General features: G+C 43.3%; 1 protein-coding gene across 17 annotated transcripts in view; it reads right to left on the bottom strand.

Annotated features, from left to right (window-relative positions):
• DOCK1 (dedicator of cytokinesis 1) overlaps positions 1–20,874 on the bottom strand; it is a 547,089-nt gene that overhangs the window by 106,987 nt on the left and 419,228 nt on the right. For all 17 annotated transcript variants that reach the window (XR_007061946.1, NM_001377544.1, NM_001290223.2 and 14 more), the window contains 2 exons: positions 6,446–6,524; positions 1,784–1,884 (listed from right to left, as the gene is read on the bottom strand). Coding sequence is in view for 16 of the 17 variants with exons in the window: in NM_001377544.1 (NP_001364473.1) it covers positions 1,784–1,884; positions 6,446–6,524 (180 nt within the window). In the remaining variant the exon portion in view is untranslated. The remainder of the gene's footprint in view (positions 1–1,783; positions 1,885–6,445; positions 6,525–20,874) is intronic.

Below are 20,874 nucleotides of genomic sequence, written 5' to 3'. Positions count from 1 at the left end.
TGAAGGAAAGATGGCCAGGTGAAAGGTGATCTTTACTTAGATAGGTGCAGACCAAAAGCTCGAAGGTTCTAAAAGCAGCCCAGGTGAAAATCGTGGGCCCTGAATCGCCTAGATTAGAATGCTGCTTTGCCACATTCTAGGTGTGGGACTGGCCAAGTGGCTCGGTCACTGTGTGTGACCTTCCTCATCTAGAAACTAGGGCAGATACGAGGGCCTAAGGAATGGTTTTGCTTTTTAATGATTATAGAAGAAAAATGCACATGAAATGCTTAGAAAGTCACTGACATAAAGTACAGGCTGAGTAAATGATTTGCTGAAATATACTCATGCTTTGCTTAATGACAGGGATATGTTCTGAGAAATATGTCACTGGGTGATTTTGTCGTCGTGTGAACGCTGCTGAGTGAACTTACACAAACTGAGATACTACAGCCTACTACACACATCGGCCATACGGTATAGCCTACTGTTACTAGTCTACAAACCCGTACAACATGTTTGTAATGTACCATGTGACTACAATAAATACCACAGGCAAATGTAACACAATGGTGAGTATTTGTGTATCTAAACAAAGAAAAGTTACAGTAAAAATACAGCATGTAGTCTGTGGTTATGCAGTACGTGACTATAATTCTTTCTTTCTTCTCTTTTTTTTTGAAAGGGGGTCTTGCCATGTTGCCCAGGCTGGAGTGCATGGCAATTCACAGGTATGATCGTGGTGCACTGCAGCCTTGACCTCCTGGGCTCAAGTGATCTTCCTGCCTCAGCCTCCTAAGTAGCTGGTATTACCACTACTGGCTGAGCACCAGAGCCCAGCTTATGACTATAATTCTTACTCTCCAGAGATGATGTGCTTTGGATTTGCCTTGAAAGTGAGATACAGACTCACAGGATATAAGAGCAGCTGCCACCTTCTGAAACTCTTTCTGGAATCTCTAACCTCAGCTAGCAGCATGGAGTTGGCCAAGCCTTAGAACAGTCGAGATATTGCAGAGGTATTTATAAAATGACAAACAGAGACTGATGACGTGGCAACACCAATGCAATTTCAGAACTCTTCTCAAAAGGACTTATGAAAGGAACACCGACAGCAGTGAGAAATTAGTGAAACGGAGGCAGAAAGAGACGAAGCAAGACCCTCCGGGTGTCCAAACAGGGGAAGGAAACCCATGCAACAATGGTGCTTCTTGATACTGAGTCATGAGCGGTGCATGATGCAAACTGGGGTTACAGAGCTGGAGGGGCCGGCAAGGATCTCGGCTTTCATGGAGCTTTGGAGAGGTTTATTTACAATGATAGAAGGTGCCGCTTCAGTCCATTCAAAGCTCCTGCCCGGAAGAAGACAGGGGTTATCTGCTGCCAAGAAGGAACCCCGATAGCTCTAACTCCCCAGTGAGCTGTTCAACAATCCCAATAGAGCCAAGAGCTTTCATCAGAAGCTCCTTTCGAATTGAAGAATTAAGCAATAAAGTCAACCACATGTGAAATGACATCAGAATAGTGCATAGCAAAAGGAATTATCTCCGGAAGCTGAAATTCTGTGTTGCACTAATAGTCTTGGATTACACTGACCTGGAACCTTCCAGGATGAGTCCTGCAATTTTAGATCTTGATTCATGGGTTAGAAAAGGCAATACCTGATTGGTGATTTAAAACCACCCTTTCATTACACCGTGATTACATCTCAATTTGTATCAAGTTGGCTTAGAAATGACATGAAAATTATGCGATTAGAGTTGGAGGCTCCTGCCTGCAGTTTCAGAGCTAGATGAGAACTTACTTGTTAAGGATTTTGGCTCTCTTGGCACTTGAAAAATTCTCCAGTTGCAGGGACTCTTGAGTAAGGAAAGCAACAGCCAGGTGAAAGTAGTTGTTCCACAGCTGAAAACCAAAAAGGAGGAGATGCTAAGTTGTTGAACAGCTTGATATAGGATCTCAACAATGCTCTCAGACATTTATCATTTGCTCAGCACACACTTCTGAAAAGTTAAAAAAAAAACCCACACTCACTCTATACATGTTGCTAACCAGCCACCCACGGTGTAATTCAGGCCTTAGCGTGTGGGCTCAGAGGTCACGGTGCACATATTCAAATCCCGGGTCTGCCATTTACTCAGACTCTAACCTCTCTCTGCCTCAGTTTCCTCATGGATAAAATGTGAATTTCAAGAGTATCTATCTTATAGGAGTGCTCAGAAGATCAAAGAAGTAAATATATGCACAGAATTTAAGGCGGTACAGAGCATGTGTAAGCACTTCATCAATGTTAGCTCTTTTTTATTGAGATGGAGTCTCCCTCTGTTGCCCAGGCTGGAATGCAGTGGCATGATCTTGGCTCACTGCAACCTCTGCCTTCTGGGTTCAAGCAATTCTCCTGCCTCAGCCTCCTGAGTAGCTGGGACTACAGGTGTGCACCACCATGCCTGGATAATTTTTGTATTTTTAGTAGAGATGGGGTTTCACCATGTTGGCCAGGCTGGTCTTGAACTCCTGACCTCAAGTGATCCACCTCCCTCAGCCTCCCAAAGTGCTGGGATTACAAGTGTGAGCCACCATGCCTGGCCAATGTTAACTTTTATTAATGTAATTATGAAGCTCCTCACTTAAGAATAGTATAGATTTCCATAATTTAGGACTCTTTACCCCCAAATCACACATACACTAGACAAGGAAAACAAATGTAAAGAGATCAAACATTTCTTCTTTCAATAAACCCATATTTCAAGGGTTTATGGACTACATATATGCGGTTTAAAAGACAACGGCCTTTAGAAGAAGAAAGTTGTAGGTCTCAGTTTTCTCATTTACAAACCAGGGATAATATGTATTATATCAAAGGAGATAGCTGCAAAGAGTTCTATAAAAATAAAGTGTGAACATTATATTGACTCTATTTTTAATTACCTGAGAAGTAAGGGGAAATTTAAGAGCATTTGTAGGATTTGAGAAAAGTCTGTTGGGCTTGCATTTATCCAACACTTCCCATGAACAGCACACTTTCTATAGTAATACACCAGCTCATTTGATCACCACAGAATAACCAAGTAGGTGCTGTTATCCCCATTGCAGAGCTGAGATTTAGAGACCAGCCCAAAGCTACAGGTAACACATGAAGCAGAATGGGGGTCTGAGCCAGGCACCCCCAACCTCAGAGCCCACAATGGGGCTCTCTTTTTTTTAGCCCCCTTTATAAAGAAAGGGGAGTGCCAGTCAATAAAATACAAGTCGTTCCTTTTGTTTTTGGGACTGACACCTCCCACCGATTTCAGCCTTGCCACAGCACCGGCAGGAATCACTGGCTGCAGCCACCTGTATTCTGAGAATCATGGTCAGGGGCTCAGCCAGAATAGGACCCATGCCTGCGAGGACTCACAATAGATCTTCATTTCTACCTGCTCCCTTTAACAACAACAGCAGCAGCAGCAGCAGCAACAACAACAGCAACAGCAACAGCAGCAGCAACAACAACAAAACACGAATGCTTCTTTTTAAATGACAGCTTCACCAACTCCTAATTCTTTCTTTTCCTACATAGGACCAGGGCTGCCTTTGAGCCAGAGCACTCATGGTGGTGACGGTGGTGTTTAAATTAAGATCTGTGCTGGGTACATGCAGACATGGGTCGTATGCTAGATGGGCCCCTGACTGTGACTCTCAGAATGCAGCCGACAGCAGGCAGCGATTCCTGCTAAACCCTCCTCAAACAACAATAAATATGTGTGTCACACCTGCCAAGGGGCGACGCTCGATGTGGGCCCTGAAGCACGTGGCTTGTAAGGTGTGCGGGCTCACGGTGAGAGTCCAAGGGGCCATCCTCATGAAACAGGACGAAAGCCAGGGAGAACCAACATGTTGAGAAACAGGCTCCCCCACCAGAGCAGCCACAACTAAAACACACGGGAATCTACCCAGCAAGTCATGTGTGAGACCTGACCTAGAAAAAAACCAGAAAAATGGCAAAACAAATACTTAAATAGTCTAGTATGAGATGGGGAAAAAAATACTGCAAAGTATTCCCTCAAATACCATAAACTTACTCCAAATTTATTTATCAATTCAATGGGATTCCAGCTAAAATCCAAGCAGTATGTTTTTAAAAGAGAAACTCAGCTATCTGATTTTAAACTCCAAATGGAACAGGAAATGCACAAAAACAGCCAAGATAATTCTGCAGTAGAAAACGAGTGGAAAAGTAGCGACTCTGCTAGCTGGGTACAAAGGTATAAGGATTAAGCCTCTAGGATAATAACACAGAAAATGGAATTTATACACACATACATTTATAATTATGTTAATTGTAGCATTTCCAATCATTGGGGAAAGAGTCATCTATTCATGAAATGACGTGGGAAAAAGTGAAGTTAGATCCTTACCCCTATACTAACTACAGAAATCCCAAATGGATTAAACACCTGAAAGATAAAAACAAAAACACAAAACCACACAGGTATTAGCAGATCCTAACTAACACAAAACAGTAAAATTTAGAAGTATATAATATTAAGGCAAGGAGAGATTTGCCAAGTAAAACATGAAACCAGATAGCTGTAAAAGAAATAACAGATTTCACTACAGAAAAATGAAATATTTCTATATGATAAGCCTAAACCCATGCCTAGCCTATATCAAGAATTCCAACTTATAAAAAAGACAGCCAAATACGAATGTTAGGAGAAGAAATGATCAGAGAATTCACAGCAGAAACCCACATGGCCACTAAGTATTCTTAGCCTAAATAATCATCAGAAAAATGACAATAAAAACAAAAATCAATCATTTTAAATCAGTGTTGAAGAAGATTCTAGATAGAAAGTGGCTGCTCTCAAGGTTGGTGGGGTGGCAAATTGCTAAAATCATGTTAGGAAGGAAATTGATCATTTTCCATCAAACTTAAAATGTCATATCATTTGGCCTAGAGATCAACCTTTTCCATAGCAATGCGTGTACTAAGAGACACATGTATCACAGCCCTCACGGTAGCACAGCCTGTGATTGTAAACACCTGGAAACAGCCTCTAGGTTATCAGTGCAGAAATGGCTGAATAAATGTTGGTACATTCATATCGTGGAATATGACAGAGCTGAAAAACACAGGGTATGATCCAGTTCATGTTAAAGGCTGAAAAAAAACACACACAGGCCCATATAAATGCTGAAAGCGTGACAAAGAATTCAGAACAATGAGTTAAAAGTTATCCCTGCAGAGGGGCAGTGAGAGGCAGCAAAGGGTTAGGAAGGAATGTTTCCTATTTTACCTGCTAAACTGATATTCAGCACATATATATTGTATAAAGAGAAAGTATGTTATTATGACATATGAAAACAGGCATTCAGCAGAGAAAATGATAAAAAATTTTATAAACAAGTAACATGTTTAGATATATGGCACCTGATATATTATTATCTAATTATATCCTGTAATGCCAATACAACAAACACTTAAAATTAAAAAATTATAAAAATAAGGGCAATGCAAATGAAAGAGCATTGGGTAAACTTATTATTTGCTATTGGGTAACTTATTTTGGGGTTGGATCACCCAATGGGTGAACAAAAATCCTTCGGGTTCCTTTTGAGAGAGTGAATCATCTTGCCCAGGAAATAAACATGCCATTTGTATCTGCATGCTTTTCAAAAATTTGTATACTTTACTAAAATAAACTAAGTAATAATAATGACAGATAAAATCATTATTAGCAGAAACACATCCAGAGTACAATGGAAGTGAGAGCCACACATTTTGGATGCACAGTAAGAAATCAGGCCAGGCAAAATCAATCCTTACAGCATGCACACACACACACACACACACACACACACACACACACACAAATCAGGCCAGGCAAAATCAATCCTTACAGCATGCATGCGCGCGCGCACACACACACACACACACACACAAACACACACACTCTCTCTCTCTCTCACACACTGCATTCACCAAAGGAGCATTTCTGAGGACCATGGGGTCTGGGGGGCAGGGTCTCTGGCCTGGTAAAAGCCACTGCTAGTAGCACAAGGCCGAGAGAGGATATGGAGGGAACACAGAGTTATAAAAGCAAGCTGAGCTCGAGGTGCAGACCTGGGTCTCCTCCTCTGCTGATCCTCCCTCCACAGTAAGATGGGCTGAGACAATCTTGGCAGATACACACACCGGGACTTGGTGGCCTCCCTGCTTGAAGAGTCCCTTCTTGTCACTCTGATTCAATAGCTTCTCTCTGAAACAACTCTATCTCTTTCCTTGCTAAATTAAGCGAATACTCCAAAAGTATAATTTTCACTCCTCAGGTTCCAATAGTACATACTACAAATTCCGTTTCCGCATCTTGGATGGGAGACCAATTAAGTTCAAGGATTAGAAATACTGTAAGATACTGGCTCGGACCAGCAATTTGTTTTAACATGATTTCTCCACAAAGGTCGTGTCTACCTCTTCTCTTACCTGTAGCTCAAAGTTGGCTTGATCCAGAAATTTTTTGTTCAGCATATCTGCATACTGATTAATTGCTCGCAGGAAGACTCTGAAAGATCAAGAGAAAATTACATAATTACACACTTACGCTCTGGCACTTCGGTAGGTTTGGCATTTCAATTAGATACAATCCCAGACTGTCTGGAATGTGAACTCTCCAAGTCTTGCGCAAAGCTGTGAGGTTTTGCCAACGAAAAGATCACGGAATTATATGCAGATGTTCTCCAAATTAATCAAGGAAATTAGCACATGCAGGATGAAAGAAACAGACCAAAATAACAGCTTCTGAAAGTAACATTTGAAAAGTATGACTTAAAACAAAATCTAATTAAAAAAAAGAAAAAAAAAGGTGCAAATTAAATCGTTTTCTCAAGTTGCCATGTCTTAATGTTCTATGATTCCACTGATCTTTGCTTAGCTGGCTTTTTCAAGCTACCCAGTTGAAAGCACTCTTCGCAAGGAGCTGTCAGGCTTGGAAGAGGTTGCTGCAATATCTCCAGGCTTGGAAGCATGGCTTACGACTTCAGTATCATTGGCCTACTTTCCACATGCTAATTTTGACCACTATTTTACTAGAGAAGAAGTTAAAAGCTTTAGTAGACATGAAAGTGATTTGACAAGAATTTTCTCAGAAATTTTAATTTCTTGATTCATTGATAAAGTATAATTTTAACACTCTATAATACCATGACTTTATATACTTTTTGTAATGAAATATACAATTTGGGCGATCACACGTGACTCTAGAATACCAACTCTCACATGCTTGTTCATTCAACAGATTTGTTTTATAACGCTTGAAAGTGCTTACAATACTAAAGCTTCGTCCACTACTTTTTAAATGGCCCTTTTCCCTTTGCACAAAGGCAGGATGTAAGAGGAATTAGTATTAGGTCACAGATGATAAACCTAATTCCACTTTCTCTATTTAGACAGCAAGGAGCAGCCAGAGTAGAAGGGAAATGTAGGTTACTTACTAGTAACTGCTGTCCTCTGACAGCATTATCTCTTCAGCCAAGCGTGCCTGGAGAAGCTCCCCACGCCCTGGCCATGTCACAGCCGCTAAAAGGCAGTGAGCCAGGGAGGAGGGAAGAAGAAATTCACCACCTGGGGTTTTAAGGAGGTCTCCATCGCCACCTGCCACCACCACCTCCCGCCCATCACCCGCTGTCACTGCAGATTCTCTCACGCTCACACTGCGTGCCGCTCTGAGAAAGGGATTCGCAGACATTATTTCATCAAGAAACCTATCGGCTAGCTCTGGGACCAAAACAGCTGTGACAAAGGGCCTGTGACAGAGTTTGCAATTTTGGTCACTAAAGAAAACTGCAGGTGGAGTTATTTGACTTCTTCCCCGGGGACATTAAAATATAACCAGAAAGGAGGAATTAGTGTTTCTAAGTGACTATTAATGGAGGGACGCAGGCATTGCTGCCTTGTCCATTAACCAAGAACACAGGCTGGGCAGCAACATTCCTCAGCCGCAGGGTTGCCAGATTTTGCAAATATAGGATGCCCAGTTAAATTTGAATAAAGCTCTTATTGCTGAATTCTGTAATTGATTAGAAAAAAAAAGCGGAATACAGGACATTTAGAGCATCCTGACAAATTAATAAAGGATCCAGGACAAAAGTTGCAAAATTCAGGACATGCTTTGCATATACGGGATGCCTGGCAACTCTAATCAGCCCCCCAGTCTTGGGATGGGGTCTGTCCTGTCACCTTCAGCCCCCAGAAGTACAAAGTATGAGCTAGAGAGATGGTCTAAGTAACCCACCTGACCCTTGGTAACTGTGTTGAGAGAGCCTCTGAGGATGTACATGCAGCAACCCCAGAGATCACAGAAAAGCCCCCAAGTGTCAGTGGAATACAACACCTTCTTGTCATTACAGGGTGGGCTGTGCCGTGATGCATAAGGACACGGGGCTTCTGACCACTAACACAATTTTTTTTCCCCTTAATTTTTTCCTTCAGGTTTAGAACTCTGCTATTTGCAGAGTACCCTAGGGTCCTTATGAGCTTTAAGAAGACACTCTTTCCAGCCCTCTATGACAATAATGACCAGTTTACTAAAACACACATTATTATTATAGGGTAATTATTGTGCCTCAAGATAGCACCCAAACAGTTGCAATATGCTGCTTCGAATTAAGCTCTGGGACAACTGCAGCTAGTTAAATAAAGACAGTTCTCAAAATGACTTAAAGAAATATGTCAGCTGGGCGCGGTGGCTCACGCCTGTAATCCCAGCACTTTGGGAGGCCAAGGTGGGTGAATCACGAGGTCAGGAGATTGAGACCATCCTGGCTAACACAGTGAAACCCCGTTTCTACTAAAAATACAAAAAATTAGCTGGGTGTGGTGGCGGGCACCTGCAGTCCCAGCTACTTGGGAGGCTGAGGCAGGAGAATGGTGCGAACCTGGGAGGCGGAGCTTGCAGTGAGCCAGGATTGCGCCACTGCACTCCAGCCTGGGTGACAGAGTGAGACTTGTCTCAAATTAAAAAAAAAAAAAAAAAACTATGTATGTCATGCTAAAATAATGTGAAGGCTGAACAAAAACCTTTTAAGAAACTGACGACTGAGAAAGTGCAGGGCTGAGAGGTAGATTCTGTAATTCAGATTCCCTATAAATTTTTTTAAATGCCGGGACAAAAACAACGTGGAAATTCAAGTAGCATGAGGAAAGCTGAAGGAAAGATCAAATAAAACCATAATCAGTGCAGTAAACAAAGATCAGATGATGCTTGGGCTCAATGCATCAAGGGCTGCGTCACTTGCACAGAAACTTCCAGGACATGCATAAATGATATCCTACAGCCCACACCTGACGGGACGGAAACACAGCTATGCCCCGGGCCAATCACCCAATGAGGCAAGGAGAAACATAACCAGAGACTAACTTTTAGGTAAGAAAATCTATTAGTCGGCCGAGTGTGGTGTGGGAGGCTGAGGCGGGCAGATCACCTGAGGTCAGGAGTTCAAGACCAGCCTGGCCAACATGGTGAAACCCCGTCTGTACTAAAAAAAAAAAATTACAGGCTGGGCATGGTGGCTCACACCTGTAATCCCAGCACTTTGGGAGGCCAAGGCAGGCGGATCACAAGGTCAGGAGATCGAAACCATCCTGGCTAACATGGTGAAACCCCGTCTCTACTAAAAAATACAAAAAAATTAGCCGGGCATGGTGGTAGGTGCCCGTAGTCCCAGCTACTCGGGAGGCTGAGGCAGGAGAATGGCATGAACCTGGGAGGTGGAGCTTGCAATGAGCCGAGATTGCACCACTGCACTCCAGCCTAGGCGACAGAGTGAGACTCCATCTCAAGAAAAAAAAAAAAAAATTAGCTGGGCCTGGTGGTGTGCACCTGTAATCCCAGCTACTCAGGAGGCTGAGGCAGGAGAATCACTGGAACCCGGGAGGCAGAGGTTGCAGTGAGCCGAGACTGCACCACTGCACTCCAGCCTGGGTGACAGAGCAAGACTCCATCTCAAAAAAAAAAAAAATCTATTAGTTACTGTAATTCATAAGTTATTTCTAATAAATGTGAAAGTAGGGAAAATAAGAAAATCATATTAGAAGCTTTTGCATACCAATCCGCTTTCTGTTACAGAGGAATATGAGAAGGATTGCAAGCTAAGCCAAGTGTTTGGATGGGAGGATGCCTTGCCAAATGAAATGAGGGGCTCCACACAGTGCAGGATCATAGTCCTTTGCCCAGCAGGCAATTCGAGGGCGTGTGGGGTATGAATGCGCCTGACTCTGCATCCTGACAACTCTATCTGTGCTGGACACTGCTGGAGTTGGGTTTAGGTAAGAGAAGCCCTCCAGATTGTGAGTAAAGCATAGGTATCTCGAAGGCAGTGGCAACACCTGCTTGTTCACCTAAGTGTCCTCAGTGCCAAGTCAGCATTTGGTACACAGTATATGCTCACTAGGTAACTGACACAGGAATGAATGAATAAGTGGATGGAAGAGTAAGTGAATGAATGAATGGATGAAAGAGCTGGCTCAGAAGGTCAGGCTCTGGCCCAAATGAGAGGCCTCAGGGAGGCTAGAGTATTTGGTTGCCCCTGGCTCTCCCTGAGTCCTTGCAGAAAACCGTGTAGGTTTTCTGCGGTGGGATTCAGCTCTCTTCAGGTTCTTCTTATGCAAACTTCTCATTAGGGATTCCACCAGAAATGCCAGAAACTCAGGGGGAAGGGATCAACCACCTTGTGAACCACACAAATTATGTCTTATTCTGAGCCAGGAGAATTAATTAATTAATTTCTAAAAAACAATAACAAATGCTGTGAGAATTAAATGCTTTCAGGAATGCTGTCCTAAAAATGGTCAAAATCTAAGGAAGGATTATTTGTAATCTAAAATTCAGGAGATAAAACCAAACATACAAATAAATAATCCAGAAAGAATCACAGGCAAATTATGTCAACCTAAAAAGATTCAAAAAGCCGTAAGGTCTAGAAGCCTGTGAATTTTATTTTTAATGGCTCAATGGAGAGAAATGTTATCTCTTCTTGGTAATTGATTCCTGTCTCCAGAAAGTCAGAAGCATCATTTTTATCAAACTTGTCATAACATTATCCACTTAAAAAAATGTGAGGTCAATAAGAAAGGGAGATGGGTTCACTCCCAAGCCAATGCAATTAAAGCAACAACAAACCAGTAAGCTTTCCTATCCTGGACATTTAACCCCATTAGCAACAAAAACTACTAATTCTTGACAGTGTCAAATATGAGTTTAATTGTAGCCTACACATACACACATTTGTACAATTAAAGTCTTAATTCAAGTATGTCTATCTATCTATCAATGGCTTCATGTCCATTTAAACGTGGAGCTACCTGACCTTCGGAACGTTGTTCAACACCACCAAGAAATGAGAAGTATGTGAGGGAACAGACATGTTAATTCATTTGATTTAATCATTCCACAATGAATGCATGTATCACAACATCGACTGCATACCATACACATACACAATTATTATTTGTCAATTTACAATAGAATTTTAAAAATGTTAAAACAAAAAAAATGTTGCTCAAGTTTTCGAGACCCTCATCTTCTCCACTGACAAATGAAAGCACTCAACCCCAGTGCCTCTAAGCTCCCTGGAACTTTGAACCTACAGGTTTTGTTTTTTTATTTTTGAGATTAAAGGTAAGGAAGAGGCATCACCACATGATACAAAGTTATCTGAACACTGATATGATCTCCACTGACACCTTACAAAATGTAAAGTCGCATTTGGTAAAAGAGAAAGACAAGCCCTGTGAATTCTGCAGTTCTGCGCGTCTTTGGGAGACAGGCTGGTGTGGCCGGCGAGGCTCTGCCTGCAGGAGGCACCTGCCAAGGTCCAAGCCTCTCTGCAGCATGAAGGTTCTGGAGGAGGTCCCGCCAGCCTTGCTTTTGTTCTTGAACAAAAAGGGCGGGTGGATGGATGCAGTGCGTGGGCTCCAGAGGGAGATCATCCCCCAAAGCTGCCTATTTGGAAAGCCATGTGCCAGTAACAAAAGTAGCATAGTCCTAAATAATTATATGTTAATTGAGCTGAGGGGAACTTAGCGAGTGAAAAGTAATCAGGAACCAATTTAACTATTCCAGGCTCCTGGCACAATTATAGGCCCTTGCTTATGACAGACCCTCAGGCCCTTCTAGCACCCCTGTTACCCAGTGTTTGCTGCCAATAAAACAGAAAGATGAGGAGCCTCATTACTACAGAGGGAGAATGTGGAGAAAGGCAGGGAACTTCCAGGGGCTTGCACAGCCCCATTTCTCACATTGTGAAGCTGTGGGGGTATTTAAATTCCTTCCCTAAACTTACTTTAAGTTACATAATTAGCTTGTACACTTCAATATGAGGGCATTTAAATCCCTTGGGCATGAAGACAGGCTGCTTTGGGGGTGGAGACGATGTATCTTTTAACACAATGTTTTACCCAAAATGGGTGGGAAAAAAGGAAACAAATTAAAAGTGACACATTCCTCCATCCCTGCAGAAAAATGAGTCTAGCAACACATTCCTCCATCCCTGCAGAAAAATGAGTCTAGCAACAGTAGCTGGGAATTTGCCTTCAAATGATTTCTGCATAATTCAGGGATGCTGGGAAGAGGCAAGTTGAGGTGAAGTGATAATAGAGATGCAGAGAATGTCACTTCAGTTCCATGGGAAGGAGAGATAATGAATGCTTCATCTCAGCCGCTCCGTCTCCTGGCACCTCCCCACACTTGGCAGGGTGGCTCCTTCATCCAGGTGGTGACTCACATGGCCAGAAACTTCCTACCTTGGGACCTTGACTGGGAAACAAAAACCATATATGTGGAAAGAAGTGACTTCTAAGAACGTCCCCCAGTATCACAAGGGCAAAGTAATGCAAAGCTGGGGGACTGGGTGGGATCTGCCTCGTGTCTTTGGGATTTGGGAAACGGTGGGAAGACCAATGTCACTAGAAAGTTTTCGGAATGAGGTGAGAGAGATCAACTGGGCCAGACCGTGAGAGACGGGGATGTGGGGCTCTGGAGTCTGCATATTTGCTTGTGGGCAACAGGGGTGGAGGGGGTGCCTGAGGATTTTAAAGCGAGGAAGGGACCTCTGGGGTCAGGAGCAGGGAAGCCAAAAGATTTCATTGCTATTATTTCCTGTCTGCACTACAGCGAGTTACTTTTTTCCAAGATTCCCTTTCTTTTCTTTTTCAAATCAATAAAAGCTTAAGCCTCCATCAAACTCTTAACTAAAACCTAAAATGCCCCAGACCTTTCTTCTGGTCAGCCCTGCTGGACACAGGCTTGGGCTGTGATGCCAACAAGAATACAGAGGATTCCCAGGGTGCGTCTGCTCTAGCCTGAGGCCGTGTCATCCCCACTTGGGTCTCCATGAGCCGAGATTACTGGGCCCTTGTCTACCAGTCTGATGCCTAATAAACAGAGTGACGTGCTGGATGCATACCATCCCAGTTTCCACCAAAACAGCATTCCTGGCCAAGGAATTGTCGTGGGCCAAAGGTAAGAAATCCTGAAAGTAGGCAGTTCCCAGCCACCGGTTCCTCCATCCTCTCCCACACGACCACCTCTAGTTTCTGCTGCTTTGCTGCTAGGCATTTGGTGAGCACCCCCTAAGTTCCAGACACTGTCATTGCTTTCACACAGATCATGTTATTTCATGCTCACAAGTCTTGCGGGGTATGAATCACACAATATTTTACAAATGAGGAAATGGAGGCTTTGGGATGCATATGCCACATCGTGTATACCACCCATTTATCTGTTGATGGACACTTGAGTACTTCTACCTTTTCGCAACTGTGAAAAATGTTGCTATGAACATCAGTGTACAGATCTCTCTTCAAGTCCTTATGTTCAATTATTTTGGATAAATATTGAGAAATAAAAATAAAATCCTAAGTTTCCCAATGGACTGAACAGACTCCTTCTTGGCCAAAGGGACCCCAGAGAAGACTTAAAAACTGAATCCGGGCCGGGCGCCGTGGCTCACGCCTGTAATCCCAGCACTTTGGGAGGCCAAGGTGGGTGGATCACCAGAGGCCAGGAGTTCAAGACCAATCTGGCCAACATGGTGAAACCCCATCTCTACTAAAAATACAAAAATTACCCGGGCATGGTGGCAGGCGTCTGTAATCCCAACTACTCGGGAGGCTGAAGCAGGAGAATCGCTTGAACCTGGGAGGCAGAAGTTGCAGAGAGCTGGATCGCGCCGCTGCACTCCAGCCTGGGTAACAAGAGCAAGACTCTGTCTAAAAACAACAACAAAAAAAAACAAAAACAACAACAACAACAAAAACTGAGTCAGCCCATGACCATGAAGAGATGGGAGGTTGGACCCGCTTCAGTATACCCTTTCCTTAATAGCCTTTAACCAGAATTCTCTCCTAAGGAGGAAGCAGAAACTGGCTCTAGAAAACAAGAAGCAGACAACTCATTCCTATATCACCTTTAGCCACTTGTCTGAGCCATAAGTGGACTCCCCCTCCCTCTTTGCAGTTTCCACGTGACAGCTTGCCAGTTTGACACTGCATGCCCTCCTGCTGAGAGGCTACCAACTGCAGGGTGGCTCTGGCCAGTCGAAGGAGGATGTGCAGTGAGGGTTTTCGTGGCCTCTGTTTGAACTTTTGACATCAGAGGGCCAAAACCTCCACCCTTGGGTCATCCTAATGCTGGTATTTTTTTGAACACGGGACCCACGAAGAGGCATGGCTCAATCACACATGTGTGTGTTTCTCCTTCATTAATATTCATGACTTCTTCTATAGCTTATTGATTATGTATACTTAGCCAACCCACTCAGCATAAATTCCTGTCTCATTCCTCCTCCCTGGAAGTGCTTGCTCTTGGCAGAAGCTGGAGGCTACGCTTCCTGGTCTGCGGAATGGCTGGCCTGCAGGCTGCAACCCTTTATGAGAAATAAAGCTCTGCTTTCCAAATTTATGTACCTTATGATTCTTCAGTTGATGATACCCAGAAGTGGAATTGCCAGATCATCTGGTAATTCTATTTTAAAGTTTTAGAGGAACCATCCTACTATTTTCCATAGTGGCTGTGCCATTTTACATTCCCAGCAACAGTACACAAGGGTTCCAATTTCTCCACACCCTCATCAACACTTGTTATTTCCCTGTTTTTTTTTTTTTCTGATGTAGCCATCCTAATCGGTGTGAGGTGGTTTAAATAAAGTTTTATTAGAACACAGCAAAACTCTTTTAGTAGGGATTAGCCAGCCATTTCCCCACTACACTAGCAGTGCTGAGTAGGTGTGCCTGTGTTGGTTCTTTAAAGAAAATTTTGCCAAGGCCTGAAAAGTTGTGATTCAATTCTGATATGTCCTCTCTACAAATTTTGAAGAGTTCTTCATCTACTTTCTTTTGGTGGGGAGTCGGAGAGTTCACACCTGTTTCTAGGTCATCAGAAAATAAAATGTGTTGATTGAAAAGACCTTAAAATGCTCCCTCCAAAGCTTGGAGCCGATTAGCCACTAGGAGCCCCAACGCGGAGTTAGCAAGTGTTAGGATAAACCAGTCTGGAAATCAAGCTTAGAGACAATTAGCCACTAAGAGCCCTAACGTGGAGTTAGCAAGTGTTGGGATAAACCAGTCTGGAAATCAAGGTAGGCAGGTACCCTCAGCTTCACCTCCAGAGCACCAAGCCTGTCATCACTAACAGTCTAATTTCAGGATTGTGTTTTCAATATCATAAGGCCACCCACTCTCCCTCTACTCTCCACTACTTGGTCCTTCTTATTCGCCTCTACCTCCTCCCAATCCTGCCTCGTCCACCTATTTCAACTTCACAAAATAAATGTTGACGGATTTAGCAGCAGCTTGGGTAATGAAAAAACCATCTCCAAGACAAACACATCAGAAATGTCCAGCAGCGAACATCAGGAAGTGAGAAGTCTCTACTGCTGGGGGAGGCCGCGAGAGAGGGCAAAGCCTGACTGTAAGACTCCATCCCGGCAAATAAAGAAGGGTCTTGGGTCGCCCCAGAGTCCCCGCCCCAGCACCCCAGTGTCTGCTCGCCCCAGCACCCCAGTGTCTGCTCACCCCAGAGACCTCTGCCCCAGCACCCCAGTGTCCGTTCACCCCAGGGATCCCCACCACAGCACCCCAGAGACCCTGCCCTAGCACCCCAGTGTCTGCTCACCCCAGAGACCTCCGCCTCAGCACCCCAGTGTCCATCCCTCAGGCCTCCTCCTTCCTCTCCCAGGCTCCTCCTGTTGTCCTATGATCACTAATTGGGTGAGTGAAGGACAGCCATGGATGGGCAGGGGAAGCAGGGGAGGTCAGGGTGACCGTGCCCCACCCCTCGGGCACAGGACAGGTTGTCCTGGATGCTCTGCTTGCCGGGGTGTAGGAATGTGTGTCATCAGCTGCCACTGGAGTCTTTTCCTAGTTCCATATACATGGGGGATGGGAACAGGGAGTTGAGAGTTTCTGCTTGGGGTGAACAAACATTCTGGAAATCAACAGTAGTGATAACTGAGCAACACTGTGGATGTAATTATGCCATTGAATGATACACTTATAAACGGTTAAATGGCAAACTTTGTAATGTATGTATTTTTTCTTTTCTATTGTGGTTACATATATATAATATTTATTTATATATATAAAATCACAATAAAAAAGAAAAAACACAAGAAGGAAAGAGGGCATGTTTCAGAAACTGCAGGCATGGGACTCATAATTTTTCTGTTCATATCTGTACCATTGGTGTGACTCAGTTTCATGATTAAAAAATAAATCAAAACAACCCGGGAATAAGAATCTCTAACCTTCACTTCCCAGAGAACCAGATCTCTCTGGAAGTAGGTGGGGCATTAATAAACAAGCATAAACAAACACACACCCAGACGCCCAATCACGACAACCAGAGACCTCGCCTCCCTGCCATCCCTGCCATCCCTCTCGTCCCTGCCGTCCCTCGCATCCCTGCCGTCCCTGGCGTCCCTGCCGTCCTTGCTGTCCCTGGCGTCCCTGCCATCCCTGGCAAGCCTCTGATCACCAAACACCACCCAGGACAGAGGTCCCTGCAGGCAATGGCCCCTGGTCTACAACAATACAGTGAGGGTCCATCTGTGCAGAATCTTTATTCCCCACAGCATCCAGCAACGCATCCTTACAAAAACAGTGTAAATGAATCCTAGTCAGCCCAGAAAAAAAGGAAGTAGTCAGAGGCCTTGAGCAAACCATACGGTTCAAGGCAGAAATGCTTAAGAGAAAATAGGATCCTTACAAAAGAGAATGCTGCTTTCAAGGTATTTCACGCTCAGCATACACCAGTGATGCTTAAAATTTATCCGGGTTCATTTTCAAGACCTGCTATGGACACTGCAATCATTTAGCATGCTCATGTCATTTGCTGAAGGCTCATTTGCCATAGGCTGAAAACTGAGACCGATTTTTTTTTTTTTTTTTTTTTTTGCCCATTTGTAGGAGCCTAGGTGCTTGCTACCTGGCAGGTGGTGACGTTGTCCACATTTTCCCATTCTCACTGGTGCTTGGCAACTTCTACTCACTACGCATTTAGTTTCACTCAAGCCAGGCCTGGTGGGTCTCTCTATGTGGGGTGTGCCCTTGGAGAAGAGCTACAGGAAACACACAAAGAAATGAAGAACTAGAAAGAGCAGGAGCCTCAAGGTCATAAGTGATCTATAAGTGACAGGTCATATTGATTCATGTCCTGTCACTTATAGGCTGTGCAACCTTCCTCAAGTTAATAACAGCTCTGAACTCATTTTCCTTATTGAGGTCTTGAGAAGAAGGAGATTAGAAGCCTCAGTGTCTATAGAGAGGCTGGGTCCTACCAGCTGTTCAATAATTGGTAGCTACTGTTGAAAGCATGGTAAAGATACAAGAGATGGCGGCTTCTGTCATTTTCTTTGCTATGTGTTTCCAAAGAGGTCTCCGAAGGATCTTCTCAGCTTGCAGTGGGCAAAGTTTAGTGGTGAAACTTTTTTACGGAGAAAGTTTCAGTGGTGTGAATAGAAGATCCAACCAGCCACAACATTCCCTCAAGCCAAAGCCTAACTGAGAGCAAGGCCCTAAACTCTGTTCAATTCTGGGAAGGCTGAGAGAGGTGAGGAAGCTGCAGGGGAAAAGTTTGAAGCTACCAGAGGTTGATTCTTAAGGAAAGAAGCCATCTCCATAACATAAAAGTGCAAGGTGAACAGAAAGTGCTGATGGAGAAGCTGCAGCAAGTTCTCCAGAAGACCTAGGATAGACCATTGATGAGGGTGGCTACACTAAAAAGCAGACTTTCAATGTAAATGAAACCACCTTATATTGGAATATGTCATCTAGGACTTTCATATTTAGGGAGAAGAAGTCAATTCCTGGCTTCAAAACTTCAAAGGACAGGCTGACTCTATAGCCGGGGGCTAAGGCAGCTGGCGACTTTAAGTTGAAGCCAATGCTTATTTGTTATTCTGAACATCCTAGCGCCCTTAAGAATTATGCTAAATCTACTCTGCATATGCTCTATAAATGCAAGAAGAGAGCCTGGATGACAGCACATCTGTTTGGAGCATGGTTTACTGAATGTTTTAAGCCCACTGTTAAGACCTGATACTCAGAAACAAGATGCCTTTCAAAAATATTACTGCTCATTGACAATGCACCTGGTCAACCCAGAGCTCTGATGGAGATGTACAAGGAGGTGAATGTTGTTTTCATGCCTGCTAACACAACATCCATTCCACAGTCCATTAATCACGAGCAATTTTGACTTTCAAGTCTTATTATTTAAGAAATATATTTTATAAGGCTATAGCTGCCAGAGATAGTGATTTCTCTAATGGATCTGACCAAAGTAAATTGAAAACTTTCTGGAAAAAATTCAGCATTCTAAAAGCCATTTAGAAGAGTCATGATTCATGGGAGGAGGTCAAAATATCAACATTAACTGGAGTTTGGAAGAAGTGGATTCTGATCTTCATGGTTGACTTTGACCGGTTCAAGACTTCAGAGGAAGAAGTAAATTCAGATGTAGTGGAAATAGCAGAGAACTAGAATTAGAAGTGGACTCTGAAGATGTGACTGAATTGCTGCAATCTCATGATACAACTTGGATGGATAAGGAGTTCCCACTCATGCTTGTGAGCAAAGAAAGTGGTTTCTTGAGATGAATCTACTCCTGGTGAAGATTCTGATAACATTGTTGAAATGACAAAGGATTTAGAATATTACATAAAGTTAGTTGCCAAAGCAGTTGGCCGAGTTTGAGAAGATTGACTCCCATGTGAAAAGAAGTTTTAGTGTGTGTAAAATGCTACCAAACAGCATCACAGGCTACAGAGAAATCTTGAGTGAAAGGAAGCATCAAATGATGTGGCAAATTTCACTGTTGCCTTATTTTAAAAAACTGTCATAGCCACCTCAGCCCTCAGCAACCACCATCCTGATCAGTCAGCAGCCATCAACATTGACGCAAGACTCTCTATCAGCAGAAAGATTTAGATTTGCTGAAGCCTCAGATAATTGTTAGCATTGTTTAACAATAAAGTATTTCTATTAAGGTATATACACTGTTTTTTTAAGACATACTTTTCACACTTAATAAAATACTTTATAGTGTAAACATAACATATATGCACTGGGAAACCAAAAAATCTGTGTGACTTGCTTTATTGCAAACTTCACTTTTTCGTGGTGGTCTGGTAGGGAACCCACAATATCTTGAATATATAGCTTTGACTGAACATTCAAAGAGTTAAGATATAATCACCTACCCTAAGCCTAAGAACAGTTTTCACTACTTTGTCCTCGTAAACGAATTACTCATTTCCCATTTTGTAGTTAAAATCTGCTGCCTTTTCATATCAAGACCATCTGGTCTTTATTCTTTCCTGGACATACAGGAGTTCGGCTATCAAGAAACCCTGAGCGTCCTCCTTAACAAAAGCCCAGGCTTGAGATTTGGAAGGCTGGATTCAAGCTTTGGTTGGTGTTCAGAAGCAGGTTAATATGGTGGTTAAAGCAGGGACTCCAGGAATAAACACCCAGAGATGAAATCCAGGCTGTACCACTGACCAGTTGGCTGTGTAAACACTGAGCAGATTTCCTTAGATTCTGCATCTGTGAAATGGGTGTCAAGAGCACATCAGCCTCCTAGGTGGTAACCATTAAATAAGCTCACATTGCATAGAGTGCCCAGAACAGTTCCTGACACACAGTTAGCAAAACGAAAGACTTAGGAAGTCTGCAAATAACTCTCAAGTACTCAAACAGCGAGTGCCAGCTTAAAGGATGTGCTACAAGCTTGTCAGTTGCTTGCCAATCTTTAATCAGAAAACCCCATTCCATGAGAGTGACCTGGGTGGGTGCTTCGGCTATTCTTATCTTGATCAAAAGCAGAAACCACAGAATAATAATAGTTAGAAATTATTTTCTGTTGTGAGCTTCGTGTTTTCTTAATGAGTGTAATGATTAAGAGAAATGGGTTCTCCTTGTTGAATTCCACACCATGCAAGGTATGTGGATGAGCTAAAATGTTTCAGGGACTCTCCCGGGCTGTGCGTGGATTGGATGTGTGTGTGTAGGAAGCCCAGTGTTGAAGGACAGTGCCCAACGCTGGACCCTGTGTTCTAGTGGCAAGAAGCTGTGGGTCTGGAGGATGCTGGTTCCCTAAGATGACTATCCATGCAAATTGAATCTTGCCTCCAGAATACTTTCTCATTTGCTTCTGATGAATCATTTATCAAGGCTCAGGCAGAGCACCTCAAATGACAGGGAAGGGGGTTTTATGAAGCCTAAGAACAGACAGTATGCACTGATTGTGCAAAACTATTTTTCATAAATGTCTGTGTGTGTGGCTGACTTTGATCTAAGACTTTCTTTGATTATAACCTGGTAGCAAAGTGGTGAGATAACAGTTAACTTACACCCAA

Source organism: Homo sapiens, chromosome 10, assembly GCF_000001405.40.
Source record: "Homo sapiens chromosome 10, GRCh38.p14 Primary Assembly".
Taxonomy (NCBI): domain Eukaryota; kingdom Metazoa; phylum Chordata; class Mammalia; order Primates; family Hominidae; genus Homo; species Homo sapiens.
This window is presented reverse-complemented; position numbering and strand designations above follow the sequence as displayed.